Raw genomic sequence first — 26,321 nt, 5'->3', positions numbered from 1 at the left:
CAGTTTAATAGCAACTTTAGTTCTGTCTGAAACCTTAATTCACCCTTGCCATGTAGTTGCATGTATTTTCAGGTTCCAGGGATTTGCATATGGACATATTTGTGGGACCATTGTTCTGACTACCACAGTCATTAGATGTAAATCTACCTCACCATTTTTCAATGATTGCAAAGTAGTATTATTTTTTGAAATAGGGTCTCACTCTGTCACCCAGCCTGGAGGGCAGTGGTGTGATCACAGATCTCACTGCAGCCTTGACTTCCTGGGCTCAAGCAGTCCTCCAACCTCAGCCCCCTGAGTAACTGGGACTACAGGCCTGGGCCACCATGCCCAGCTAATTTTTAATGTTTTTGTAGCAATAGAGTCTCACTATGTTGCCCAGGCTGGTTTTGAATTCCTGAGCTCAGGCAATCCTCCTGCCTTGACCTCTCAAAGTGTTGGGATTACAGGCATGAGCCACTGTGCCCAGCCTATGATTGCAAAGTATTATATTTTATGATGCACCTGCATTTATGTAACCAACATCTTGTAGCTGGATATTCACTTATTAGTTCACCTAAGAAATATTCATTGGATACCTACCATATTGCATGTTAGGTGCTAGGGATATATTTGGGAGCAATCATTTATGTTGTTTCCCTTTTACACTACTATAAACGATATTTTAATCATCAGGTTTGTGCCTATATCTTTATGCATATATCTCCAACTATTTCCTTAGAATAAATTCCTAGATTTGGAAACGATGGATCAAAGGATAGTCTACATTTTGATACATTTGTCATACTGCTTGCCAAGCAAAGGTAGTATCTTTATTTTCTCATAACTGGTGCATGAGATTTTTTTCTACTCTTTTCCCAGCTGGTTATTCTCAAATTTTTAACATTTACCCAACGCAGAAGTGACAAAATTTATAGTTGCATATCTTTGCTTTCTAGTGAGACTGAATATCTTTTAAAAATATCATTATCCTGGAGATTGAATATTTTGTCATAATGTTTATCAAAAATTTTAAATAAATTTCTCATCTGGATCTTGGATTCCTAGGTACAAGCGCCTTAGTGATATAGGAAGGAAGAGGCACCTATAAGAAACATTTTAAGGCCGGGCGTGGTGGCTCACGCCTGTAATCTTAGCACTTTGGGAGGCTGAGGCAGGAGGATTGCTTGAGGAGTTCAAGACTAGCCTGGGCAACATGGTGAAATACCGTCTCTACAAAAAATACGAAAATTCGCCAGGCATGGTAGCACACACCTGCGGTCCCAGCTACTCAGGAGGCTGAGGTGGGGGGATGGTTTGAGCCCAGGAGGCAGAGGTTGCAGTGAGCTATGATCATGCCACTGCACTCCAGCCTGAGTGACAGAGCCAGATCTTGTCTCAAAAAAAAAGAAAGAAATAACAAAAGAAAGAAAGAAAGAAAGGTATTACTTTAAAAATCAATATGAACCCTTAGCTTTCCTCAGAAGAATGAATGATTCTGAGTCTAGGGTAGAAAAAGAACAAGATAAATCAGAGACACCTTGAGTCAGAGAGCAAGGAAATTATCGAAGACTGATGGAGTCATGTCAAAAGTCACAGGAAGCCAGGCACGGTGGCTGCTTTAGAAGGCATTTGAATGATTCTATCTAAACATGTCCTTATCTTTTTCTCACTGAAATAAAATGATCAGGGGTAAAGAACTATTATTATTTTTCTTGAGACAGAGTCCTGCTCCATCACCCAGGCTGGAGTGCAGTGGCATGATCATAGCTTGCAGTAGCCTCGAACTCCTGGGCTCAAGTGATCCTCCCATCCCAGCCTCCCGAGTAGCTAGGACTACACACATCTGCCACCATGTAAGGGTAATAATTTCTTTTTTTTTTTAGACATGGTGTTTTTAGATATGCTGCCCAGGATGGTCTTGAATTTCTGGGTTCAAGTGATCCTCCCACCTCAGTCTTTCAAAGCCCTGGGTTAGAGGCATGAGCCACTGTGCCTGGCTGGTAAAGGATTATTAAAGATTCCTTTGTTCTTAGGTTACATTAAAAAGTACAATGTAGGCTGGACACAGTGGCTCATGCCTGTAATCCCAGCACTTTGGGAGGCCAAGGTGGGCAGATCACCTGAGGTCAGGAGTTCAAGATCAGCCTGGCCAACATGGTGAAACCCCATCTCTACTAAACACAAAAATTAGCCAGGTGTGGTGGCATATGCCTATAGTCCCAGCCACTAGGGAGGCTGAGGCAGAAAAATCACTTGAACCCGGGAGGTAGAGGTTGCAGTGAGCCAAGATCATGCCACTGCATGCCAGCCTGGGTGACAGAGCGAGACTCCGTCTCAAAATACAAACAAACAAGCAACAACAATGTGGAGCCAGGCATGGTGGTGTGCACCTGTGGTCCCAGCAGGCATGGTGGTGTGCACCTGTGATCCCAGCAGGCATGGTGGTGTGCACTTGTAGTCCCAGCAGGCATGGCAGTGTGCACCTGTGATCCCAGCAGGCATGGTGGTGTGCACTTGTAGTCCCAGCTACTTAGGAGGCTGGCGTGGGAGGAAACTTTGCGTCCAGGAGTTAGAGTCCAGCCTGGGCAACACAGCAAGACTCCATTCTCTAAAAACAAAGTTCGCAGGACAGGAGTGGGTGTAGATATTGTTTGGCAAGAGGAAAAGAGTTCTGGAAATTGGTTGTACAACAATGTGATTTTATTAAAACAACAAGGAGATATAACTTCATGCCTGTTAAGATGGCTATTATCAAAAAGACAGCAGATAATACGTGTTGGCAAGGATATGGGCAAAAGGGAACCTTTGTACGCTGTTGGTAGAAGCCATTATGGAAAACATTACGGAGATTCCTCCACAAATTAATAATAGAACTGCCATATAATCCAGCAAGCCCATTTCTGGGTATATATCTGAAAGAAATGAAATCAGTATGTCAAAGAGGCATCTGCACTCCCATGTTCATTGGCAGCATTATTCACAATAGCCAAGACATGGAAACAACCTAAGTGTCCATTGGTAGACGAATGGATACATTGTTATATATATACACATACACATATACACACGCACACATGTACATACAGAGACGTGATAGACTATTACTCAGCCACAAAAAGAAAACCCTGCTATTTGCAACAACATTATTCATAATCGCCAAGTATAAACCTTTAAGGCATGATGCTAAGTGAAATATATCAGACGGAGAAAGACAAATACTATATCATCTTACTTACATGTCAAATTTTAAAAAGATGAACTCACAGAAAGAGTAAAATGGTGGCTGCAGGGGCTAAGAGGTAGGAGATATGGGGAGATGTTGGTCAAAGGATAAAACTTTGTCATAAGATGAGTAAGTTCTGGAGATCTAATGTAGCATAGTGACATTATTTGATAACAATGTATACTTGAAATTTGCTAAGATACTAGATCTCAAGTATTCTCATCACAGAGACACACACACGGTAACTAGGTAAGGAAATAGATGTGTTAACTAACTTGATTGCGGTAATTATTTCACAATATAGACATATATCACATAATCACTTTGTACACCTTAGTTTTATGCAATCATATTTGTCAATTATACCTCATAAAGCTAGGGACAAAAAGAATATGGGGAAAGAAAGATTAATAACTATAAAAAGTCTTCTTTAAGAGCTATTTCTTTTTTTTTTTTTTTTTTTTTTGAGACAGAGTCTCGCTCTGTCCCCCAGGCTGGAGTGCAGTGGCGCCATCTCGGCTCACTGCAAACTCCGCCTCCTGGGTTCACGCCATTCTCCTGCCTCAGCCTCCCTAGTAGCTGGGACTACAGGCATCCACCACTACGCCTGGCTAATTTTTTTTGTATTTTTTTTAGTAGAGACGGGGTTTCACTGTGTTAGCCAGGATGGTCTCGATCTCCTGACCTCGTGATCCGCCCACCTCGGACTCCCAAAGTACTGGGATTACAGGCATGAGCCAACGCGCCTGGCCTGAGCTATTTCTTATTACAACTTTTTTTTTTTTTTTTGAGATGGAGTTTCACTCTTGTTGCCCAGGCTGCAGTGCAGCGGTGCGATCTCGGCTCACTGCAACCTTCGCCTCCTGGTTTCAAGCCATTCTCCTGCCTCAGCCTCCCAAGTAGCTGAGATTACAGGCACCCACCACCATCCCCAGCTAATTATTGTATTTTTAGTAGAGACGGGGTTTCGCCACGTTGACCAGGTCTCCAACTCCTGACCTCAGATGATCCACCTGCCTTGGCCTTCCAAAGTGCTGGGATTACAGGCGTGAGCTGCCACTCCCAGCCTAACTTCTTTATTTTTTTAAGATGAGGTTTTGCTCTGTTACCCAGGCTAGGATGCAGTGGTGCCATCATAGCTCACTGTAGCCTCAAATTCCTGGGCTCAAGCAGTCCTCCTACCTGGGCTTCCCAAAGTGCTGGGAATTACAGTTGTGAGCCACTGCACCTGGCCTATAACTCCTCAGGTTACTTGATAGCCTTATGCAGTTTTATAACATGTGCTAAACACAAATGAAGGGCAGATAAAAATATTATATATAAAAACCCAATGCGAATGTACTTTACACCACTGAACTGTATACTTAAAATGGCTAAGATGGGCCGGGCTCACACCTGTAATCCCAGCACTTTGGGAGTCTGAGGTGGGCGGATCACCTGAGGTCAGGAGTTCAAGACCAGCCTGGCCAATATGGTGAAACCCTGTCTCTACTAAAAATACAAAAATTAGCCGGGCGTGGTGTCGCATGCCTATAGCCCCAGGTACTCGGGAGGCTGCGGCAGAAGAATCAATTGAACCCGGGAGGCAGAGGTTGCAGCGAGATGAGATCATGCCACTGCACTCCAGCCTGGGTGACAGAGTGAGATTCCGTCTCAAACAAAAAAAAAGGCTAAGATGGGATTCCGGAAGAAACAAGAGTGTGATGTGAGTGTGCAGAGGCAAAAGAAATCAAGGAATTATGCGACCATGAAGCCAATGCTTAGTCTCAGAGATCAGAGGCTTGAAGAAAGGGATAGATTAAAACCTAAAAAGGAAGAAAAGAAAGATTCCAACATACTAAAGGAAAGAGAAGTTCCTCAACACCCTTCCTGCTTATTTTTCCAATATAATACACAGCTGGGCCACCTTACCACATTCTTGTTGATTCCAACTTTATCAACTTTTCCATTAAAGCCAAACCAGACTTAGTGCAGTCAATGACGGACTGTCTGTAGGCCACGTGTATCCCTTATATAACTGATTGTGTAATGGCTGAAATTGAGAAATTGGGGCAGAAGTATTGAGTGGCTCTAAGAATCTCCAAGGATCCAAGGTTTGAATGATTACCATGCACACACAAAGGAACCTATGCAGATGACTGCTTAGTACAGAGAGAAACTCAGCACAAATGGTACATTGTGGCCACGGTTGACCAGGACCCTAAAAGAAGAATCTGTAAGATTCTGGGAGTTCCTATCACGTACATTTCTAACCATAGATATAACATCGAATGAATGCCAGATGATTATGGAGTCCTTGGGTTCTAATTCTTACAAGACAAAGTTTCCCTGCCTTTCTTTGACCAATTTTCCTCTTGTTGCCAGTTTCCTCTGCCTTTCTTTGACCAGTTTTCTCTTGCTGCCAGTTCATTAAACATGTAATAGCATGAATTATTATTCTATTCACCCATTTGCTCTATTATGAGCTGAGTATGAATAATTATGCTCACTTTTTTTAATGCTGTTTTGAAATTGATATTTTGTCTCATTTAAAAATTTTAAGGCCGGGTGCAGTGGCTCACGCCTGTAATCCCAGCACTTTGGGAGGCCAAGGCAGGTGGATCACCTGAGGTTGGGAGTTTGAGACCAACCTGGCCAACATGGTGAAACCCCATCTCTACTAAAAGTACAAAAAATTAGCCGGCGGTGGTGGTGGGTGCCTGTAATCTCAGGTACTCTGGAGACGGAGGCAGGAGAATCGCTTGAACCCGGGGGGCAGAGGTTGCAGTGAGCCGAGATCGTACCATTGCACTCCAGCCTGGGCAACAAGTGCGAAACTCTGTCTCCAAAAAAAAAAAAAAAAAAAAAAAAAAATTTAAATGATGGCCAAGGTACAAAATCTCAGGAAGAAGACCTTTTATACTCTGAGTTCTGTTGCACAGTATGGTGAATATAGTTAATAATAGAGTTTTTGTTTTTTTTTTTTTTTTGAGAAGGAGTTTCACTCTTGTTGCCCAGGCTGGAGTGCAATGGCGCGATCTTGGCTCACCGCAACCTCCGCCTCCCGGGTTCAAGCGATTCTCCTGCCTCAGCCTCCCGACTAGCTGGGATTACAGGCATGCATCACCATGCCCGGCTAATTTTGTATTTTTTTAGTAGAGACGGGGTTTCTCCATGTTGGTCAGGCTGGTCTCGCACTCCCGACCTCAGGTGATCTGCCCGCCTCGGCCTCCCAAAGTGCTGGGATGACAGGCGTGAGCACGGCGCCCAGGCTAATAATAGAGTATTATACCTTTCACAATTGCTAAGAGTAAATTTCAAATGTTCTCATCACAAAAATGTTAAGTATTTGAAGTCATGGTTACATTAACTAGCTTGACTTTGTTATACCACATTGTACCCAAAAATTATGACATCACTTTGTGACCCATAAACTTATACAATTATAAATTGTCAATTTACAATAATTGGTTGCAAATAATGGTTAAGATGGTAACTTTTATGTTATGTGTATTTTAGCACAATTTAAAACTTTTTTTACGGTTCACAGGAGCCAGTTTAAAGGAGCTCTTGCTGGAAAGCTCAAACATCAAAATAAATAATGTTTGCAGTTAATTGATACATATATAATATGTAACACTCCATGGTTTCAAGGCTCCTAATCCCAGCAAGCAGGCAGATTGTTTGAGCCTAGGAGTTGCAGACCAGCCTAGGCAACATGGCAAAACCCTGTCTCTACCAAAAATATAAAAATTAGCCAGTTTCATAACCCAGTCTCAAAATAAATAAATAAAAAATTTTAAATAAAATTTAAAAATTAAAAATAAATAAATAAATTAAAGTAAAAAATCTCCATGGTTTCATGATACTTGAAAAGAAAAAAAAAAGGAAAGGAAAGAGAACCTTGTTGGTTACTATAGAAGGTTGCTAGGGCACTTATTTATTTTTTTGAAAACTGATAAAAGAATTTTCCTTCCTCTCACCTTCCCTGTATAAATTGATTTTGAGAGCAATCAAATAGTTAAATGAGAAAGTTCTTCTTTACGGAATTTCAGTCAAAAAGCAGATAACGAATGACAGAATTAGGAACTCACTATTTTGCAACCCTAAATAAAAGAACGCCTCTCAGCATGATCATCATGGCTGCTCCAACAGTTAAATGAAAGGTCGAAGGCGAGCTTTGCAATGGAGGGATCAGAGGGAGCCGACTGATCCTTGGCATCAGCCTTTACATCCAATTACCAGTGTAAAGGCAATCTGAGTTACACAGGAACATGTTCAACAATCCTACATGGAATCAGCCAACCAAATTTGTAACATGGGGCATTCCACAACACAAATGACTCAGTTTCTCCAACAAATCAATGGCTTGGGAAAACAGTGGGGAAAGGATAGCCATTAAAAAAATAAGTGGGCTGGGCCTGGTGGCTCACATCTGTAATCCCAGCACTTTAGGAGGCTGAGGCAGGCGAATCACGAGGTCAGGAGTTCGAGACCAGCCTGGCCAACATGGTGAAACCCCGTCCCCACTAAAAATACAAAAAATGAGCTGGGTGTGGTGGTGGGTGCCTGTAATCCCAGCTACTTGGGAGGCTGAGGCAGGAGAATTGCTTGAACCCAGAAGGTGGAGGTTGCAGTGAGCCAAGATCGCGCCATTGCACCTCCGGCCTGGGCAACAGTGTGAGAATCTGTTTTGATAAAAAAAAAAAAAAAAAAAAAGTGTAGACCGGGTACAGTGGCTCACACCTGTAATGCCAGCACATTGGGAGGCTGAGGCGGGGAGGATCACTTGTGGCCAGGAGTTTAAGACCATCCTGGCCAACATAGCGAGACCTCATCTCTAACTTTAAAAAAAAAAAAAAAAAAGTGTAAGGGATACAGCAGCGAAATGTAGTGTTGTACTTAGTTTGGATCCTATAGTAAACCATTTTGGAGACAATTGGAAAAACGTGAATAAAGACTAGGCATTAGATGATACGAAGAAATTATTTTGCTAGATGTAAAGATTTATTTTACACTTTTTTGTTTGTTTGTTTGTTTGTTTTGCAGACTGGGCAACATAGCTCTACCAAAAAAAGTTACAAAAGTTAGCCAGGTGTGGGCCGGGCCCGGTGGCTCACGCCTGTAATCCCAGCACTTCGGGAGGCCGAGGCAGGTGGATCGCGAGCTCAGGAGATTGAGACCATCCTGGCTACCACGGTGAAACCCCGTCTCTACTAAAAATACAAAAAATTAGCCGGGTGTGGTGGTGAGCGCCTGTAGTCCCGCTACTCGGGAGGCTGAGGCAGGAGAATGGCGTGAACCTGGGAGGCAGAGCTTTCGGTGAGCCGAAATCGCGTCACTGTACTCCAGCGTGGGCGACAGAGTGAGACTCTGTCTCAAACAAACAAACAAACAACAACAACAAAAAATTAGCCAGGTGTGATGGCACATGCCCATAGTCCCAGCTACTTGGGAGGCGAAGGTGGGAGGATCGTTTGGGCCCCGGAGACAGAAATTTCAGTGACCCAAGATTGTGGCACTGCACTCCAGCCTGGGCAACAGAACGAGACCCTGTCTCAAAAACAAAACAAAACAAAAAAATGTTTTTGATGATACAAATAACATGTGCTCATTCTAGAAAAATCAGAAAATACAGAATACAGAAAGAAGAATATACGGTACCCAGTTCCATCATTTGAAGATAATCATTGTTCTTATATTTAGGAGCATTTCCTTCTAGTTATATATTTATCAACTTTGTTTTGTTTTACCTCAGTTGCACAGGATTGGGTTGGTCATAATCTTTGGCTCAAGATGACACTCTCTCACCATTGGCCCTCTTTTATTTAACTATTTATAGTTTATTTTTAATAGTATATTTATAGTTTATTAAAGAATAAACCCCTGTGACTCATCATCTACATGAAAACTAGAATCCTGATAATAACCTAATACGATATGATGAATCCTGATGATTATCTATGTGGCCTCCTCTCCATCTTAGCCCCTCCTCCCCAACTTGGTAACCACCATGCTGACTTGGTGTTCATCATTCCCCTGCTTTCCTTCTGAGTGTATATGTGAGTTGTCTTTAACTTATAAAAGGTTATTGCTCTAAGCAATATATTGTTGCAAGAGGCTGTAGTTCATTTATTCTGTATAATATTCCTTTGTGACTTTACTACAGTTTATTTATCCATTCTCCTGTGAATGGATATTTGGGTTGTTTCTAGGTTTTCCTGGGAAGAGTTCTGACAGGTAGTTAAATTTTATACTTCAAATTTCATCTTAGGATACACTACTCCCATGCCACCTTTTCTTTTTATTTCCATAGGTTTTTGAGGAACATGTGGTATTTAGTTACATGAGTAAATTCTTTAGTGGTGATTTGTGAGATTTTGGTGCACCCATCTCCTGAGCAGTGTATACTCAATTTGTGGTCTTTTACCCCTCACCCCCTTCCCACCCTTTCCCCCTGAGTCCCCAAAGTCCATTGTGTCATTCTTATGCCTTTTGCATCCTCATAGCTTAGCCCCAACTTATGAGTGAGAACATATAATATTTGGTTTTCCATTCCTGAATTACTTTGCTTAGAATAATCATCTCCAATCCCATCCAGGTTGCTCCAAATGCCACTAATTAATTCCTTTTCATGGCAGAGTAGTATTCCATCATATATATATATATATATACACACACATATATATATATATATATATATATATGTATATCACAGTTTCTTTATCCACCTGTTGATTGATGGGCATGTGGGTTGGTTCCACATTTTTGCAATTATGAATTGTGCTGCTATAAATATGCGCGTGCAAGTATCTTTTTCGTACAATGACTTCTTTTCCTCTGGGTAGATACCCAGTAGTGGGATTGCTGGATCAAATGGTAGTTGTACTTTTAGTTCTTTAAGGAATCTCCCGGTTTTCCATAGTGGTTGTACTAGTTTACATTCCCATCAGCAGTGTAGAAGTGTTCTCTTTTTACTGCATCCACACTAACATCTATTATTTTTCGGTTTTTTAATTATGACCATTCTTGCAGGAGTGAGGTGGCATCACATTGTGGTTTTGATTTGCATTTCCTTGATCATTAGTGATATTGAGCATTTTTTCATGTTTGTTGGCCATTTCTATGTCTTCTTTTGAGAATTGTCTATTTATGTCCTTAGTTTTTTTCTTTTTTCTTTTTTTTTTTTGAGACGGAGTCTCGTTCTTTTGCCCAGGCTAGGGTGCAATGGTGCAATCTCGGCTCACTGCGACCTCTGCCTCCCAGGTTCAAGTGATTCTTGTGCCTCAGCTTCCTGAGTAGCTGAGATTACAGGTGCCTGCCACCACGCCTGGCTAATTTTTGTATTTTTTCATAGAGACAGGGTTTCACCATGTTGGCCAGGCTGGTCTTGAACTACTGACCTCATGATCCACCTGCCTCAGCATCCCAAAGTGCTGGGATTATAGGCGTGAGCCACCGTGACCGGCCATCTCCTTCCTCCTTCACCACAATCACCAAATCAGCCCCTAGGTGTTTTTGGTATTCAGATTTCATTTAAAGAAAAAGTTTTGATGGCAACAAATTGTGCAAACTTCTCTACACACTCCACACTCAACACACACACATTGACTGATGACATTCATTTTGTTGTGTGCTGTCTTTTATTCTTCTCATATTCCAGAAGCTCTGTGTTAAGGTAGTTTACAGGCATGTCACTAAGTCCCTAGCTCTGCTGCTCTGAGACCATCTTAATAGTCGGGAGTACTGTTTGAACATTATTATAAAGTACCTACTATAACCTTGAACTCCTGGTCTCAGGTGATCCTCCCTTCTCAGCCTCCCAAGTAACTGGGATGACAGGAATGTGCCACTACACCTGGCTAATTAAAATTTTTTTTTTTTTTTGTAGAGACAGGGTTTTGGTATGTTGCTCAGGCTGGTCTCGAACTCCTGGCATCAAGTGATCCTCCCACCTCAGCCTCCCAAAGTGTTGGGATTACAGGCATAAGCCACTATGCCCAGCCTAGAAGTATTTTATAGGATGAAGAAAAGAGTCGTAAGACAACTATTCATCTAAGACACAGATGTTCTCAATACAGGATCTAGTAAATCACTACTTCATTTTTGCCATTAGAAAGTAGATGTAACTATTGTGATATCATGCCTGTTTGCTAGCACCTTTCTGAAAGTGCACTAAGCCACAGAGGAGGAAAGCAGTCCCTTGGCTTCCGTCTACTTGGATGCATGTGATGTGTGTGGCACACATGGCAGAGCTGTGGGCATCTTGCTAGCTGTTGAGCTTTGGGATCCATTCTGATTGCTTCTCCCAAATGAGGCAGGGGGCATCTCATTTACACGGATACAAACATTCCATTGCCTTCTTTTATTGCTCAATACTTTATTCCCACTGATGATATCAATCACGTTGTTGTGTTTAGTTGTGTATACTTCTGTTAGAGTTCCTTGAGAGTCAGGCCTGTGCATTATTTATCTTTGCAGCCCAAGTACCTGGCATATGCTTAGCACACAATAAAATAATAATTCAATGGGAACTGAATATATGAGGTTAGACTTCACAAGTCACTTGCCCTACCAGTTACTGTATGTTTAATTATTCAGTCAACAAGTATGTGAGAGCTTTCTATGTGTGAGGTACTACACTATGCACTGGTCATATAACTTCTGAATGGGCTGTAATTCAGCAAAGAGCCAAGCCTAGTATGATTCAGCAGGAACTACCAGCCTCTTAGTGGAAAGGGCTTCTTGGGGAATATGTACTTTTCTCTCTTCTAAAGAGTAACTTATGGGGCCCAAAACTTTCTCTCCTTTCATTCTAGGGCTAGGAAAGAAAGGGTAGAAGGCACATGACATACTTAGGTCCCACCCTCATCACACTCAACAGAATATCATACTAAGAATCAAATAATAAACTTTAATTTGAATATAATACAGTAGAATATAATAATTATTTTGAGGTACAAAAATAATTATAAAATACTTTTCCCATTTGCAAGTAATGTATGCTATAGACTATAAATAGTACACTGATGCCAGAAACTGTACATATTTCACTACATGCCTAAGTCTGGGTCTTCCTCTCTCCTCCATCATCACATGTAAGAAAACCAGCTATGCAATACTACTTTGCAATCTTGAAACTCTGTTAAGACATTTCAGAAGTAGCTATCTTTAATAAAAGAATTAGATGGTACCTTTCTTTAAAATAGTATGTATGTTTTTTGGCTCAATCCTATAGATGAAAAAGTTTACAAAAATTAGATTTCTGCCATTTTTGGAATATCTGCTTTTTTTTCCCAAAAGACAGGAAAATGTCAGAGAGAATCTAGAGTGCTGAATTCAACACAAGCTCATTTGAAAGTAAGTCTCCATCAATGGAAAAGCTTTTTGACTATAGGCAATTTGAAAATAATAGCAATTCACTGGAAGACAAATTTCACTGCCAAAACCTGCAGACGAGTTCTCCCTGTCTTTTCTATTACTGTGTTTCCTAATATTTTAAGTGAGGTAAGAATTACAAGAGTGATTCTAAAAATTATAGCAGGTTCTACCCAGATGGGACCCATCTAGTTCCTAAGATGCTGAGAGCCATTTATTATTTAAAAAGTAGGAACAACATGAGGAAACAGAAGCTTTGGCATATGAAAAAAGATGTAGCTTTGCTTCCTAGAATTCAGTTATTTAGGCCAGTTTATTTTGATTTGTGCTCTGAACTGATTATATATGGGTCTAAAGATAAAAGACAGAAAAACTGGCCATCCTCATGAGTAGAGGTGAAATAACCCCTTGAGACAGTCCTGAAGGTGAAGGAGATCTTCAGTCATCGATCTCTTCTTGGCTGCTTCCACTCCTGCCATTTTCTCATCTCCTTTCTATACAACTCCTTCATCCACAAGTGGAGTGCTGGGATAAATGGAACAACTAATACAGTGCCTACGGGGATTTTCCTGACTTCAGTGCTTGAGGAATTCTTTCTTTCAGTTCTCTTCCCATCTATTCTCTTCTAGGTAGGGATGGCTCTGCACTTTCTAGACCTGTAACACTAGGTACCTTAAACTAATAGAAAAAAACTATATGGTGTAAAAACAAAGGTAGTATAAAACATAGAAAGATGTGGGTCTCTTTTCTGGAAATAGGTTGTGAGCTTAAGAATGCTCAGTTGTATGTTATAAGAGCTCAGAAGCCTGGGGCTGGAATATGACTTACGACAGAGAGCCTAGCCATTAGGAGATTCCCTCAAAGGACTTTATACGATTCATGTTTTATTATCGTTACATTAATAAGTGCCCACAATACATATAAATCACTGTAGCCCTACTTTCAAAACTGATGTTTGGGCCAGGCGCGGTGGCTCATGCCTGTAATCCCAGCACTTTGGGAGGCTGAGACGGGCGGATCACGAGGTCAGGAGATGGAGAGCATTGTGGCTAACACGGTGAAACCCCGTCTCTACTAAAAATACAAAAAATTAGCCGGGCGCGGTGGCGGGTGCCTGTAGTCCCAGCTACTCAGAAGGCTGAGGCAGGAGACTGGCGTGAACCCAGGAGGTGGAGCTTGCAGTGAGCCGAGATCGCACCACTGTACTCCAGCCTGGGCGACAGAGCGAGACTCCGTCTCAAAAACAACAACAACAACAACAACAACAACAACAACAAAAACTGATGTTTGTTAAGCAAGATACATTAACAAAAACCTAACCTGCTTTGTTACCTAAAATAATTATGGTACCAAACTATAATGGACTAGTGAGATTCATAAACATTGTTTCTTGAATACCTTTAGAGGTACTACAATTTTTTTCATAGTACTCACCTTTTAAAACATTGCAATACTCATCTTACTGCGCTGTAACATGTTATTATCATCAACAATTTAATTACTGAAAGAGTAATCCCATAAATCTATCCTATTAATGACTGGACAGTTTGATAAAGTAGCTTACTGCCTTTCTTAGAAACACATAGCTAGTTATTCTCCCAAGATTCAGAGATGACGTTATAAAACCCTTTATGGAATTCCCCAATAAAATGGGATAACGTACAGAGACGCCTTAAAGTTAAATGATACAATGATGCTGATTCTTGAACATCAAAGATGTTTGTTATTGCAGCCAGGAGACAATGCCATAAAATGCTAACAAAAAAAAGTTATACTGTTTTCCTTAAAGTCAGTAAATTGCATAAAAGTACTCTGAGCATTTTTGGAAGAAAGGCACCAGATAAGTCCAAAATCTTATTGCTACTAGGATCATACAGGGTCACAGACTATGGCACTCTGTTCAGCCAGGAGACTAAGTCTCAGCAAGTCAGTCTCTGACCTTGAGGCTTAAAGAGCAAGGAAGGAAAATGTCAATAAAACAGAGCCCTGTATCACAGATTAAACTGGAGTGAAAATGATTTCCAGTTTTATGTCAAAGTAGAAGCTGGTTCCTAGGACGCTGGCGCTATTTTAGATGGACACTCTGTTTTCTTTGGCCCATTTCTTCATGATCCGGATCATGTATTCTACTTGGGTGTTACCTGTGCTTCTCAGTAAATGGAGCACTTCTCGAAGGGTCTCTCTGAGGAAAAGATTTGAAAAGACAAAGTGTTTCAATGAAGAATGAAAATTAAAAAATAAAATAAACTCTGAACTGTCCTTCATACTGTATGTCTTGTAGGGCATTTTTGGTAATAGACTCTTTCACTGTGTATTCACAAAGCAATTACAAACTGCCTAGCCTTATGTTCTTATTGTGGCATAGTAAAATGGAAATTATGTGAAATCTTTCTTGCCAATCCAAGTGTTCCTTGTTTATCCATACTACCTATATACATACTGATAATCTTTTTGTCCTTTCTGAGATGACCTAACTATTCCCATTTCTATTCTTATTCTGCATGACTAGAAAGAGTATATCCAGAAGTTGGGGTTCAAGTTCTAGCTCTAACACCAGCAAGTCACTTAATTTGTCTAACTCATGGATTTCTCCCTTGTTTAAGGTGGTAACCACCTTCAACTAGGCATCATTGTCAAATTCATAAAATTTTACAAAGCCAAAGGAATAAGGGATTTTTTCAAGAAAAATAATACATGAATAAAATGGAAGAGATGGACATTAAGGACTAAGCCTAGCATTTATATTTGAAGTAATTTAAATTTAATTAAAATTAAAACATATTTTAAGTAATGAATGCTAAAATTTCCTTATTGCCCTAGCAAATCTGTAGGCGACTGCCTATGAACCTATTTGCTTAAGAGTCTTCTCATATTTTCTACTTCTTTTTCCCCACAAACAACCTCTTTCACCTAACCAAATGTTTTTAAACTTTTACTTAGAACTAGAAGTACTATAAGGTAGGAAGTAATTTTTGATAGATTATTTTCTTACAAAATTAACACATTTCCTATTCATGTATCAGTAATAAATACATTCCATGAAGTTATTTTTAGAAAATGGAATCGAGTTGTGTTTTAATGTTTGTTTCAAATGAAACTATAGGCTGGGCATGGTGGCTCATGCCTGTAATCCCAGAACTTTGGGAGGCTGAGGTGGAAGGATCACCTGAGGTCAGGAGTTTGAGACCAGCCTGGCCAACATGGTGAAACCCTGCCCCTACTAAAAATACAAAAATTAGCCAGGCATGGTGGCACGTGCCTGTAATCCCAGCTACTCAGGAGAGTGAGGCAGGAGAATCACTTGAACCCGGGAGGCAGAGGTTGCAGTGAGCTGAGATCACACCATTGCACTCCAGCCTGGGCAACAGAGCAAGACTCTATCTAAAAAAAAAAAAAAGAAAGAAAGAAAAAAAAAAAGAAAAAGTATAAACCACTGAATTTTATTAATTTTATGTAAACTAATGTCTCAGTATTTCCTAGAATATGAGAAGGTGAAAGAAAACAAAAGAGTTATCAACCACATCTACTCCATTCCTAATTTTTTGAGACCTAAACTAAAGCACACAAGAAAAAGCCAATAGGCAAAAAACAAAAAACAAACAAAAAACCCAAAAGAGTAGAAGAGTAAAAAAAAAAAACACTTTGCCTATAAAAATGGCTGTTCATTTGGAACCAAATATACATCCTGCTCTTATATTTGGAGGCTGTTAGTGTACTTAATGTATATATGACTTAGAATGATCTGATCCTATTATATATGATTTAGAATTATCTGATTCTACAAAATGAAAGATTTCTGGAGGAAAATGGTCAGACAGAAATATTTAATATCAACCTTTTTTTCATCATTCTAAAACATCATTATAATCATGTGTTTTCAGAAGATATCATCCAAGAGAACAAGTATTTTCCCTCACAAACAAGCAAATGAGTAGAGGTAGTATTTCTTGCCTGTTTACTTACTTGGGTTCTCTCCCAGCTATGATCATCTGGAAAATGCCCACACAGGCACCCCGTTTGCCTTCCCAATATTCAGGGTTAGGATCCAGCCTCTCAAGGACATCAAAAGCTTTGGCAGAATAGTAAAACTGGCCCATCTGAATAAGAGAACGTATGTGGTAATACTTGCAGTAAAGAGATTGCACAGAAAGAACCTGAACATAAAGATAACATGAAACGGGACTGTATGAAATAAGTGCATGGGTGCTGACAACATTTTCAGTTAGCAAGTTAGAAAAACTTCAATTCCCAATTAAAACAATAAGAAGGAAAATTACAGTTTGGGTACATGGGTTCAGTTTAAACTACCTTATGTTCACTCAGTTTTCAACAGTATAACATTTTTTCTACATAGAGTCAAATTATGCTACAATCAGCACTTTTTTTTTTTTTTTTTTTTTTTGAGACGGAGTCTCGCTCTGTCGCCCAGGCCGGACTGCGGACTGCAGTGGCGCAATCTCGGCTCACTGCAAGCTCCGCTTCCCGGGTTCACGCCATTCTCCTGCCTCAGCCTCCCGAGTAGCTGGGACTACAGGCGCCCGCCACCGCGCCCGGCTAATTTTTTGTATTTTTAGTAGAGACGGGGTTTCACCTTGTTAGCCAGGATGGTCTCGATCTCCTGACCTCATGATCCACCCGTCTCAGCCTCCCAAAGTGCTGGGATTACAGGCGTGAGCCACCGCGCCCGGCCACAATCAGCACTTTTGCCTTTTCTTCTAATTGTCTTCTAATCTTGAGGATAAACTGAGGATTGTGATTTGAACTGAGTATTTTTCAAGTCTCTTCAGTACATTCTTTTCAGATGACTACTATCATTCATTTTATGCTAATTTGATCATGTTCAACTCCAGGATGGTCTTTCCCTAGTCTTGTTCCTAAATTCTCAGAATGCTTAGATGTATACTGACTACTATTCTAAACACTAAATCTTTTAAATGTTTAATGCATTTTGACAGACATTTTTCCCAAATGTACTACACATTTCCTTGGCCTCATAGAACATGTTGAATGCCATTAAATTTTGCTTAGATTAGTTTTCTTTTATTTAAAAAAAATTTTTATTCTTTTTTTTTTTTTAGAGATAGGATCTTGCACTATTGCCCAGGCTGGAGTGCAGTGGTGCCAACATGACTCACTGTGACCTCAAATTCCTGGGCTCAAGAGATCCTCCTGCCTTAGTGTTCCAAGCAGCTGGGACTACAGGTGTACACCACCATGCCCAGCTAATTTTTAATTTTTTGCAAGACAGGCTCTCACTATGTTGCCCAGGTGGGTCTCAAACTCCTGGCCTCAAGTGATCCTCCCACTTTGGTTTCCTAAAGTGCAGGGATTACAGGCTTGAGCCACCGCGCCTGGCCAGATGAGTTTTCTTACTTGGCAATCATAAATACATACTGTTACCAATTTCACTTAAGGCTTCAAATTGCTGGGCAACTCTCTTTATGGTTTAGTTACTTCTTTATTCCTGACAGATGTTTTTCTAAATCTTTGACAATTTCCTTAAGACAGCCTTCTTAGCTTAGCCTTATTCTGTACTTCATAGGGAAAACACAACTTTCTTCTCTTCAGTTCAAATTATATTTACACCTTCATTCTTCCTTTCCTCCTTTCTGCCTAATCTCACGCGAAGATTTTTTTTTATTTTCAAGGTTTGTCCTTCTATTTATGTACTCTTTTTAAAAAAAGTCTTTATTGTGAAATAACACACATACAGGATGGTAAATGAAACATCCATGTACATCTTACTAATTATAATGTGAAAATACTGTAAACACTACCCAGGTCAAGACACTGAGAGCAACACAAAAGCTCTCTGTGTGTCACTTCCAGACCATAACTCTCTCTTTCCATACCCAGAGGTAACTACTCTTCTGACTTTTATGTTCTCTCTTAAGTATACACATCTTTAAACAATATAATTGAGTTCTGCTTCTCAGAACTTTATATGAACGAATACTGTAAATATTCTATTATGTCTTGTACCTATGATTCAACATTATAAGACTCACCTATATTGCTGTATATAGCTCTAGTTGATTCATTTAAAAAATTTTTTTATTTTGAAGTATTAATAATTATAGATCCATGGACAAAGATAGGACAGAGGTCATGTGTACCTTTCACCTAGTTTCCTCCAAAGGTTACAGCTTAAATAAGGATAGTAAAATATCACAATATAAAAATCAGGAAATTGACACTGGTACCGTGTATGTTGATGATGGTCCTGTTATTTCATCCTATGTGTAGATTCACGTAACCACAGCCATACAACTATCAAGATACCGAATTACTCTTTTTTTTTGGACACAAGGTCTTGCTTTGTCATCCAGGTTGGAATGCAATAAGGCAATCACAGCTCACTGCAACCTTGAACTTCTGGGCTCAAGTGATTCTCCTGCCTCAGCCTCTTGAGGTAGCCACCATGCCCAGCTACTTTTTTTTTTTTTTTTGAGATGGAGTCTCGCCCTGTTACCCAGGCTGGAGTGCAGTGGCGCGATCTCGGCTCACTGCAAGCTCCACCTCCCGGGTTCACGCCATTCTCCTGCCTCAGCCTCCTGAGTAGCTGGGACTACAGGCGCCCGCCACCACGCCTGGCTAATTTTTTGTATTTTTAGTAGAGACGGGGTTTCACTGTGTTAACCAGGATGGTCTCGATCTCCTGACCTTGTGATCCGCCCGCCTCAGCCTCCCAAAGTGCTGGGATTACAGGCATCAGCCACCACGCCCGGCCTGCCCAGCTGCTTTTTAAAAATGTTTTATAGAGACGATGTCTCACTATGTTGCCCTGGCTGGCCTTGAACTCCTGGCCTTAAGCAATCCTCCTGCCTTGGCCTCCCAAAGTACTGGGATTACAGGCATAAGCCACCGTGCCTGACCAAGATGCAGAACTATTATATCACCACAAAGATTTCCCTTGTTACCCTTTTACAGTCACATGCACAGCCCTCCCTGCTCACCATCCCTAACATCTAACAACCACTAATTTGTTCTCTATCTCAATAATTTTGTCATTTCAAGAATGTTACATATATGAAAGCAAACAGTATGGGACCCTATGAAACTGGCTTTTTTCCTTCAGTATAATGTCCTTGTTATTCCCTGTTAATTCAAGTTACTGTGTGTTCCAATAGCTTGCTCCTGTTCTGGTCACCCTGCAAATGCAACAGGGACTCCCAACCAAAGTTTGGTTTGGATGGTGAAACTGATGACGCCACACACACACAGCAAGAGGATATGAAACGTTTTCTTACATACTTGAAGCCTAGGGAGAGTAGAACGGCCCTATTAAGCAGATCTGAAAAGGCCTGAGAAAGCAAGGAAAGGAGACTGGCCTTGGTGTTTACTGTGGTTAGGAGGTGGGGCCGTGGTGAAGGTTCCTGTGCATGGGCAGGGGCTTGTGTGGTTTAAATCACCCTATGGTGCCAAAGAAGGGAGCACGTAGGTTTTCTTATCATTTTGTCCAGATGCGGGGCACAACGGGAAGAGGCAGGGGTGAGGCTTAAAAGCTGTCAGCAGTCAAACATCCAGAAATGGAGTCAGACTTCTCATTATAGTTCCTTTTTATTACTGAGTAGTATTCCATGCCAAACCCATCTGTTTAACCATTCACCTGCTGAAAGACTTTGTCTCCAGTTTTAGGCTATTACAAATAAAGCTGCTATTAACATTTAAATATTAAAATTTGTGTTATTAACATTTATATATTTCTGTGGATATAGGTTTTCATTTATCTGGGATAAATACACAGGAATGCAATTGCTGGGTCATATGGTAAGTATGTTTATTAAAGAAACTGCCAAAGTATTTCATGGTTGGTTTTTTTTTTTTATCCTTTTATTTTTGACCTATGTAAATATATTTAAAGTGAATTTCTTGTTGAGAACACATAATTGGGTTATGTTTTTTAATCCACTCTCTCAATAGATGTCTTTTAATAGGCATACTTAGACCATTTACATTTAATTATTGACATGTTAGGGCTTAATTCTGCCATTTCCCCCCTTATTCTCTTTGTTTTTCTTTGACAAGGACCTCACACATATGCTTGATAAAGACTTGACTGTGTGATCCCCACAAAAGGAAGATAAGAAAACCTGTATTTGGCTTCTCTAGCCTTCACCTACACCCATCGTTTTCCTGCTGTTCCTGTAGTGTAATAAATTTTAGCCATGAGTATAACTTTATGTTGAGTCGTATGACTCCTTCTAGTAAATCACCAAACTAGTGGGTGGTCATGGGACCACTGAGACAGTAGGTAATGCCAACTTGTTTTTCAAGTAGTTATCTTCCTTTGATGTTAACCCTATTCCCCTCTCATCTCCTCAGGGCCTAACTCCATCAAAAATGCCCCATCCTCCTGAATCTTTAATCTTACTGTTCAATGGCTCATTTTCTTCTGCCTACAGATATACTCCCCTATCCCCATTCTAAAAGAACTCTCCACCCCATCCCCCGCAATTCCAAACCCTGATTTTCCATTTAAGTTAGCACTACATTTTTCCTTCTTATTTTTAATATCAAATTTTTTAAGACTGTGGTCTACATTACACTAGCTGCATCTGCTTTGTAATCTGACTCTATTCTCTACCTCTTACTGTCTTCTCAGTCCTCATGCATTTCTATCCAGTTGCAGATTTGACACTCTCCTGCCTTGGTTTTTGATTAAATGGGAGCAAGAAAAAGTAATGAAAAGCATTTTTTTTCCTGTCCTCATTGTTTTCCTTCTCTTCTGTTCATCCTCTCTTTCATTTACTCTTCCTTCTCTTTCCAGCCCTTAAACACTGGTTTCCACAAGGTTCCTCACCCCATTTACTGGCTAATCTTATTCTCTCTCATACTTGGCTGTTGCTGCTCCTGCTGCTGCTACTACCACCACTAACTACGGTTAACTTCTAAATCTACATTGTTAACTACTAAATCTACATTGCTAATCTTGATGAATACCAAAGCTCCAAGCACAGCCTGTTAATTTCCTACTTCTGTTATCTCTGCTGGGAGCCTCAAAGACACTTCAGATTTAATACATCTAAAACTGAAATAATTTCCTGTCTTCTAATGTTTTCCTTCCCTCTGCCTCCCCTAACTTATTTAAGAGCATTGCCACCCACCAAGTCATGTTAAACTGTTATTTTTAAGTTTCCTATGTCTTAAAGTATTTTCTACTGATGGTAATTCACCTCTTTTTTTGGTAACGATTCACTTTGAAATGAGCTTTTGTTGATTAATTTAATACGAGTTTCTCTTTACCTGACATTTACCTGATTTTTGACATTTTTGGAAGAGATATTCCAAAAATAGGAACTTCCAGAATTTGAGGCTGATTTTAAAAAAATCTTAATCTTTTTTTGAGGCTAGGTCCCCAAACTACTACCTCCTCCCAGCCTTTCCAACTCCCCCCGCCCCTCCACACACACACCCCAGCATGCACACAAAACAGCCATTTCTTTACTAAATCTGACTACTTTTTTATTCTCTTTTTCTGGTTCCTTTGTCTTTCCTGTCTGCCATTTGCACCTCAAAGTTTGGTTTGCACCTCTTCTCACTTTACATTTTACTTGGGTAATCTCACTGTTTTTCAGGGCTTCAGTTAATCCAGTCATGTACTTCATAACCGTATTTTGATCAGTGATGGGCAGCATATATGATTGTGGTTCCATAAGATCATAATATTATATTTTTACTGTGCCTTTTCTATGTTTAGATATGTTTCAACACACAAATATTAGCCATTGTGTTATAATTACCTACAGTATTCACTACAGGAATATGCTGTACAGGTTTGTAGCCTAGGGAGCAATAAGCTATATCATATGGCCCAAGTGTATAGTAGGCTATACCATCTAGGTTTGTGTAAGTACACTCTGATGTTTGTACAATGACAAAATCACCTAATGACACATTTCTCAGAACTTATCCCCATTATAAAGCAACACAGGACTGTACTTAAATGTTGATGACTCGCAATCTATGTCTCCAGATGTCAGAAGACATTTTTCTTGAGCTTCAGAACCAAATTTCCAACTACCAGATGAATATCTGTACATCAACGCTGACTAAAGATTCATATCCTTTAGAAATCTAAAACTTCCTGTCTAAATAATTATTTCATATACATGTAAATCTCTGAAATACTGCCTATCTCTGAGTTCAGTTAATTCATAAAAAGAATGGCATCTCTTATAACACTACGTGAATCCTCTCACTACTAGCCATTTAGTCTGCAGGACATTTTCCCCTAATATTTAGCCAATGCAGCAATGTGATAATGAATCTTTAATGTTCCCTTTAGTCTCAGTCAGACTCACCTTGTAGCAGTCATTAGCAATGAGCTGTAAGAGACTGAAGGACTCGCCGGAGGTTTCCATCTTAAGATAAAGTTCCCAGGCTAGTCTTGGTTTCTTATTCATAATATCTGCAAAAGGAAACAAAGATTTGTAAACAAATGAGTCATTTTTACTGTACAAAAATAATTTCTGCACCTTATTATTCTATGGATTTGGTTCTATATTCCAAATAAAGTAATGGAAAGCTTTCATGGAAAGCTTGCAATGTTGGCATTAAGCTGGCTCCCTGCCAGAATTCTACCATACTTAAAATATTTAAGTTAGGAGTCACATAATTATGTCTTTCAGATGGGATTGACTTCTGGTAGTTCCTACTTTGCTCATATGCTTAAAAGAGGATACCTATCATTCATTCAATCCTACTCGTCGTTTCAATCTCACTTAGAAGATACGATTGCTAAATTTTCCTCTGACTACAAAAATTCAGTAAACATTTAATTTTTTTTTTTTTGAGACAGAGTCTTGCTCTGTCACCCAGGCTGGAGTGCAGTGGTGCGATCTTGGCTCACTGCAACCTCTGCCTCCCAGGTTAAGTGATTCTCGTGCCTCAGCCTCCCAAGCAGCTGGAATTATAGGTGTGTGCCACCACACCCAGCTAATTTTAGTATTTTTAGTAGAGCTGAGGTTTTGCCATGTTGGCCAGGCTGGTCTTTAACTCCTGGCCTCAAGTGATTTGCCTGCCTCAAGCTCCCAAAGTGCTGGGATTACAGGTGTGAGCAACTGTGCCTGGCCAACATTTTAAATCTTGAGTTTTAAAAAGGAACAAGAAACAATAGTGAGTTAGAGACAGAGACAAAGTAAAGTTCTTTTTTTTTTCTTTTTTTGAGACGGAGTCTCGCTCTGTCGCCCAGGCTGGCGTGCAGTGGCGTGATCTCCCCTCACTGCAGCTCCGCCTCCCGGGTTCACGCCATTTTCCTATCTCAGCCTCCCGAGCAGCTGGGACTACAGGCGCCCACCACCGCGCCCGGCTAATTTTTTGTATTTTTAGTAGAGATGGGGTTTCACCGTGCTAGCCAGGATGGTCTCGATCTCCTGACCTCGTGATCCACCCGCCTTGGCCTCCCAAAGTGCTGGGATTACAGGCATGAGCCACCGCGCCCGGCCTAAAGTTCTATAATATACCAAAAAATTACATTTTTGACATTTTGCCACTTTTCAGACTTGACCCATAGTGAAAAGTTAAAATTAGTGTAACAGCATCATTTCATAAACAACACTATAAACTGAGACTCTGGAAACTTTAATGAGACTTTAGGAAGAACTTGACATTTTTCAGGCTATAAGTACTAGGTCAATGCTATATAGTAGAACTAATCACAGGGTAAACTTGCATGACACATTTACATGGCAACTCTTACTGAGTAGCATTAACAACGCTTAATTTCAGTGTTTACTCATTCTACAGAACAAAATGCAAAATAAAATTAGAAAACTTTCAATGTCATTTCCGAACAGATTATGCAACCAAAAAGAAAAAGAGGATTCTTCTTGTAATATTTAAAAAAAGAAGACTCACAGCACCGAGCTAACCAGCTGAGGTAAATGTAATCATTTTTCATCTTCTCACTTTGGATCAAGAGGAACGCCTGCAAGAAGAGGAAAGAAAGGGAATACACATGAGGATGCTTTTGCAATAAAAATACCCATTATTGGCTTGCCTTAGATTGATGATCACTGTAGCATTATAGACAGCCCAATTCTATACAGGCTGCTAAGAAAAGTGAGGGACAGAATTGTGGTGATTTAAAGTATTTCACCAGAAATTGATATTACAAGTTGACAAAAAGTTGGTAAGGATATAGAAGATTTAAACAGAGTAATTAACAACTGTATGATACACATTCTTTTTAAGCATATATGACCATGCTACACACAGGTCAGTAAGGCAAGCCTCAACAAATGGCACATGCCACTATACTCAGCTATTTTAAAAAAATTTTTGTAGAGATGGTGTCTCACTATATTGCCTAGGTTGGTCTCGAACTCCTGAGCTCAAGTGATCCTCCCACTTTTCAGCCTTCTGAAATGTTGGGATTATAGGTGTGAGCCAGCTCGCCCAGCCCAGAGCACATTCTATGACCACAAAAATACAATTAAGTTAGAAATCAAATAAGAAACATACTGATAGTCATCAAGCTGTATACTTATGATATGTATACTTTTCTGTACATACGTTATATTTCTATAAAATTTACTAAAAAGGGAAAATTTTAATATGGTTATAAAATCTATGTCTATTCACATTGTAATTTTTTTTTTTTAAGAGACAGGGTCTTGCTATGTTGCCCAGGCTGGAGTGTAGTGGCTATTCACAGGCACGATCATAGTGCACTGCAGCTTAAAACTTCCAGGCTCAAGCCATTGTCCTGCCTCAGCCTCCCAAGTAGCTGGGACTACAGGTGTGTGTCACTGCACCTTCTCCACAGTGTACTTATTCATGCATCCTAAGAACAGAGGAATCTTTAATAATCCTTAACCCTTGACCATTTTATTCCAGTGAGAAAAAGATAAGGATGTTTTTAGATAGAATCATTCAAATGCTCTCAAAAGCAGATACCCACCTCTTCGCCCTCACTGGTATTGCCTGTTGCAGCTTTGGCTTGGGCATAATTAAAGTTAAAGATGTCATCATTATAGAAGTAACTCTGAAAAACATCCCAAGAACAGGTCACACTGAGAATTAACATATAAAATATAACCATCAGTTATACCAGATAAACACAAAACTAACCTTAAGGATTAGTTGATGCCACTAATGCCACCACAGAAAATGGGCCATCTCTAAGGGTATCTTATCTTCTCTGACACATTCCATAGTATTTTGTATATAAAGTCTTATAGATAATTCTATACTGACCTTAAATGAGTTGAGGTAAATCAAAACATCATCAAATTGCTTAAGCAGGAAGAAACAGGAAGCCATGCACTGCCTCCCTGGTATTGTATCTGAAACGGAGGGGAAAAAAACCCCACATATATTCATGAGACTAAAATCCTCTTTAGCTGAAGTTTGAGTTATTTAATAATTTAAAGACAGGAAAATATTCCAAAATATCTTTCTAGATTCTGACATTATACATTTTCTTCAGTGGACAAAACCCCAATATAATGGAGGTCATAGTTCTTGAGAGTGACCAATAATCTCTCTGGGGATTAACTCCCAGAGTCCAAAATGAACACACGCCCTGCAGGTTCATTAACTACGACATTACCCAGGTCATTTTTCAGGGCTTTGATGCTCTCATCCAACATGTGCACATTCAATTAGTGTGGCCTGGTCTCCATTATCACTTTTCTAAATCAACCTAGCACTTCCAATCTTAAACGGAAAAATAATTTGCCATGGAACCATCTGATTCTGATCCTGATTCAACTTTTTGCCTGATACTGGATTCCTATTTGAGTGGTGGAGGATT

The 26,321-nt window shown here is 40.0% G+C and overlaps 1 protein-coding gene, 1 long non-coding RNA gene and 1 pseudogene across 9 annotated transcripts in view, besides 2 other annotated features; 1 reads left to right on the top strand and 2 right to left on the bottom strand.

Moving 5' to 3' along the window:
* Positions 1 to 2,660: 2,660 nt before the first annotated feature.
* Positions 2,661 to 3,646, bottom strand: LOC124901756 (uncharacterized). The gene is made up of 2 exons (XR_007060558.1): positions 3,219 to 3,646; positions 2,661 to 2,894 (listed from the first exon to the last, which is right to left on the bottom strand). It is a non-coding gene; the product is annotated as an uncharacterized LOC124901756 (long non-coding RNA).
* On the top strand, positions 4,885 to 5,625 carry FCF1P11 (FCF1 pseudogene 11; annotated as a pseudogene).
* The window catches only part of IFT56 (intraflagellar transport 56), a 58,209-nt gene continuing 43,966 nt past the window's right edge, over positions 12,079 to 26,321 (bottom strand). For 6 of the 8 annotated variants that reach the window (NM_001318333.2, NM_024926.4, NM_001321741.2 and 3 more), the window contains 6 exons: positions 25,763 to 25,851; positions 25,467 to 25,550; positions 24,422 to 24,491; positions 22,867 to 22,973; positions 16,526 to 16,659; positions 12,079 to 14,744 (listed from right to left, as the gene is read on the bottom strand). In NM_001318333.2, the coding sequence (NP_001305262.1) occupies positions 14,633 to 14,744; positions 16,526 to 16,659; positions 22,867 to 22,973; positions 24,422 to 24,491; positions 25,467 to 25,550; positions 25,763 to 25,851 (596 nt within the window). In that variant the 3' untranslated portion in view covers positions 12,079 to 14,632. The remainder of the gene's footprint in view (positions 14,745 to 16,525; positions 16,660 to 22,866; positions 22,974 to 24,421; positions 24,492 to 25,466; positions 25,551 to 25,762; positions 25,852 to 26,321) is intronic. The other 2 variants (NM_001321740.2, NM_001144920.3) reach the window with 2 other exon arrangements.
* Positions 19,848 to 20,142: an enhancer, noted in NCBI's record as "tiled region #12471; K562 Activating DNase matched - State 5:Enh". NCBI's record gives its function as "activates a minimal TATA promoter and a strong SV40 promoter by Sharpr-MPRA in K562 cells {active_cell/tissue: K562}" and the evidence as "EXISTENCE:reporter gene assay evidence [ECO:0000049][PMID:27701403]".
* Positions 20,681 to 21,280: an enhancer, noted in NCBI's record as "NANOG hESC enhancer chr7:138867531-138868130 (GRCh37/hg19 assembly coordinates)". NCBI's record gives its function as "activates a minimal SCP1, AML or CMV promoter by ChIP-STARR-seq in naive H9 embryonic stem cells {active_cell/tissue: H9 hESC(naive)}" and the evidence as "EXISTENCE:reporter gene assay evidence [ECO:0000049][PMID:30033119]".

Source organism: Homo sapiens, chromosome 7 (genome assembly GCF_000001405.40).
Source record: "Homo sapiens chromosome 7, GRCh38.p14 Primary Assembly".
Taxonomy (NCBI): Eukaryota; Metazoa; Chordata; class Mammalia; order Primates; family Hominidae; genus Homo; species Homo sapiens.
This window is presented reverse-complemented; position numbering and strand designations above follow the sequence as displayed.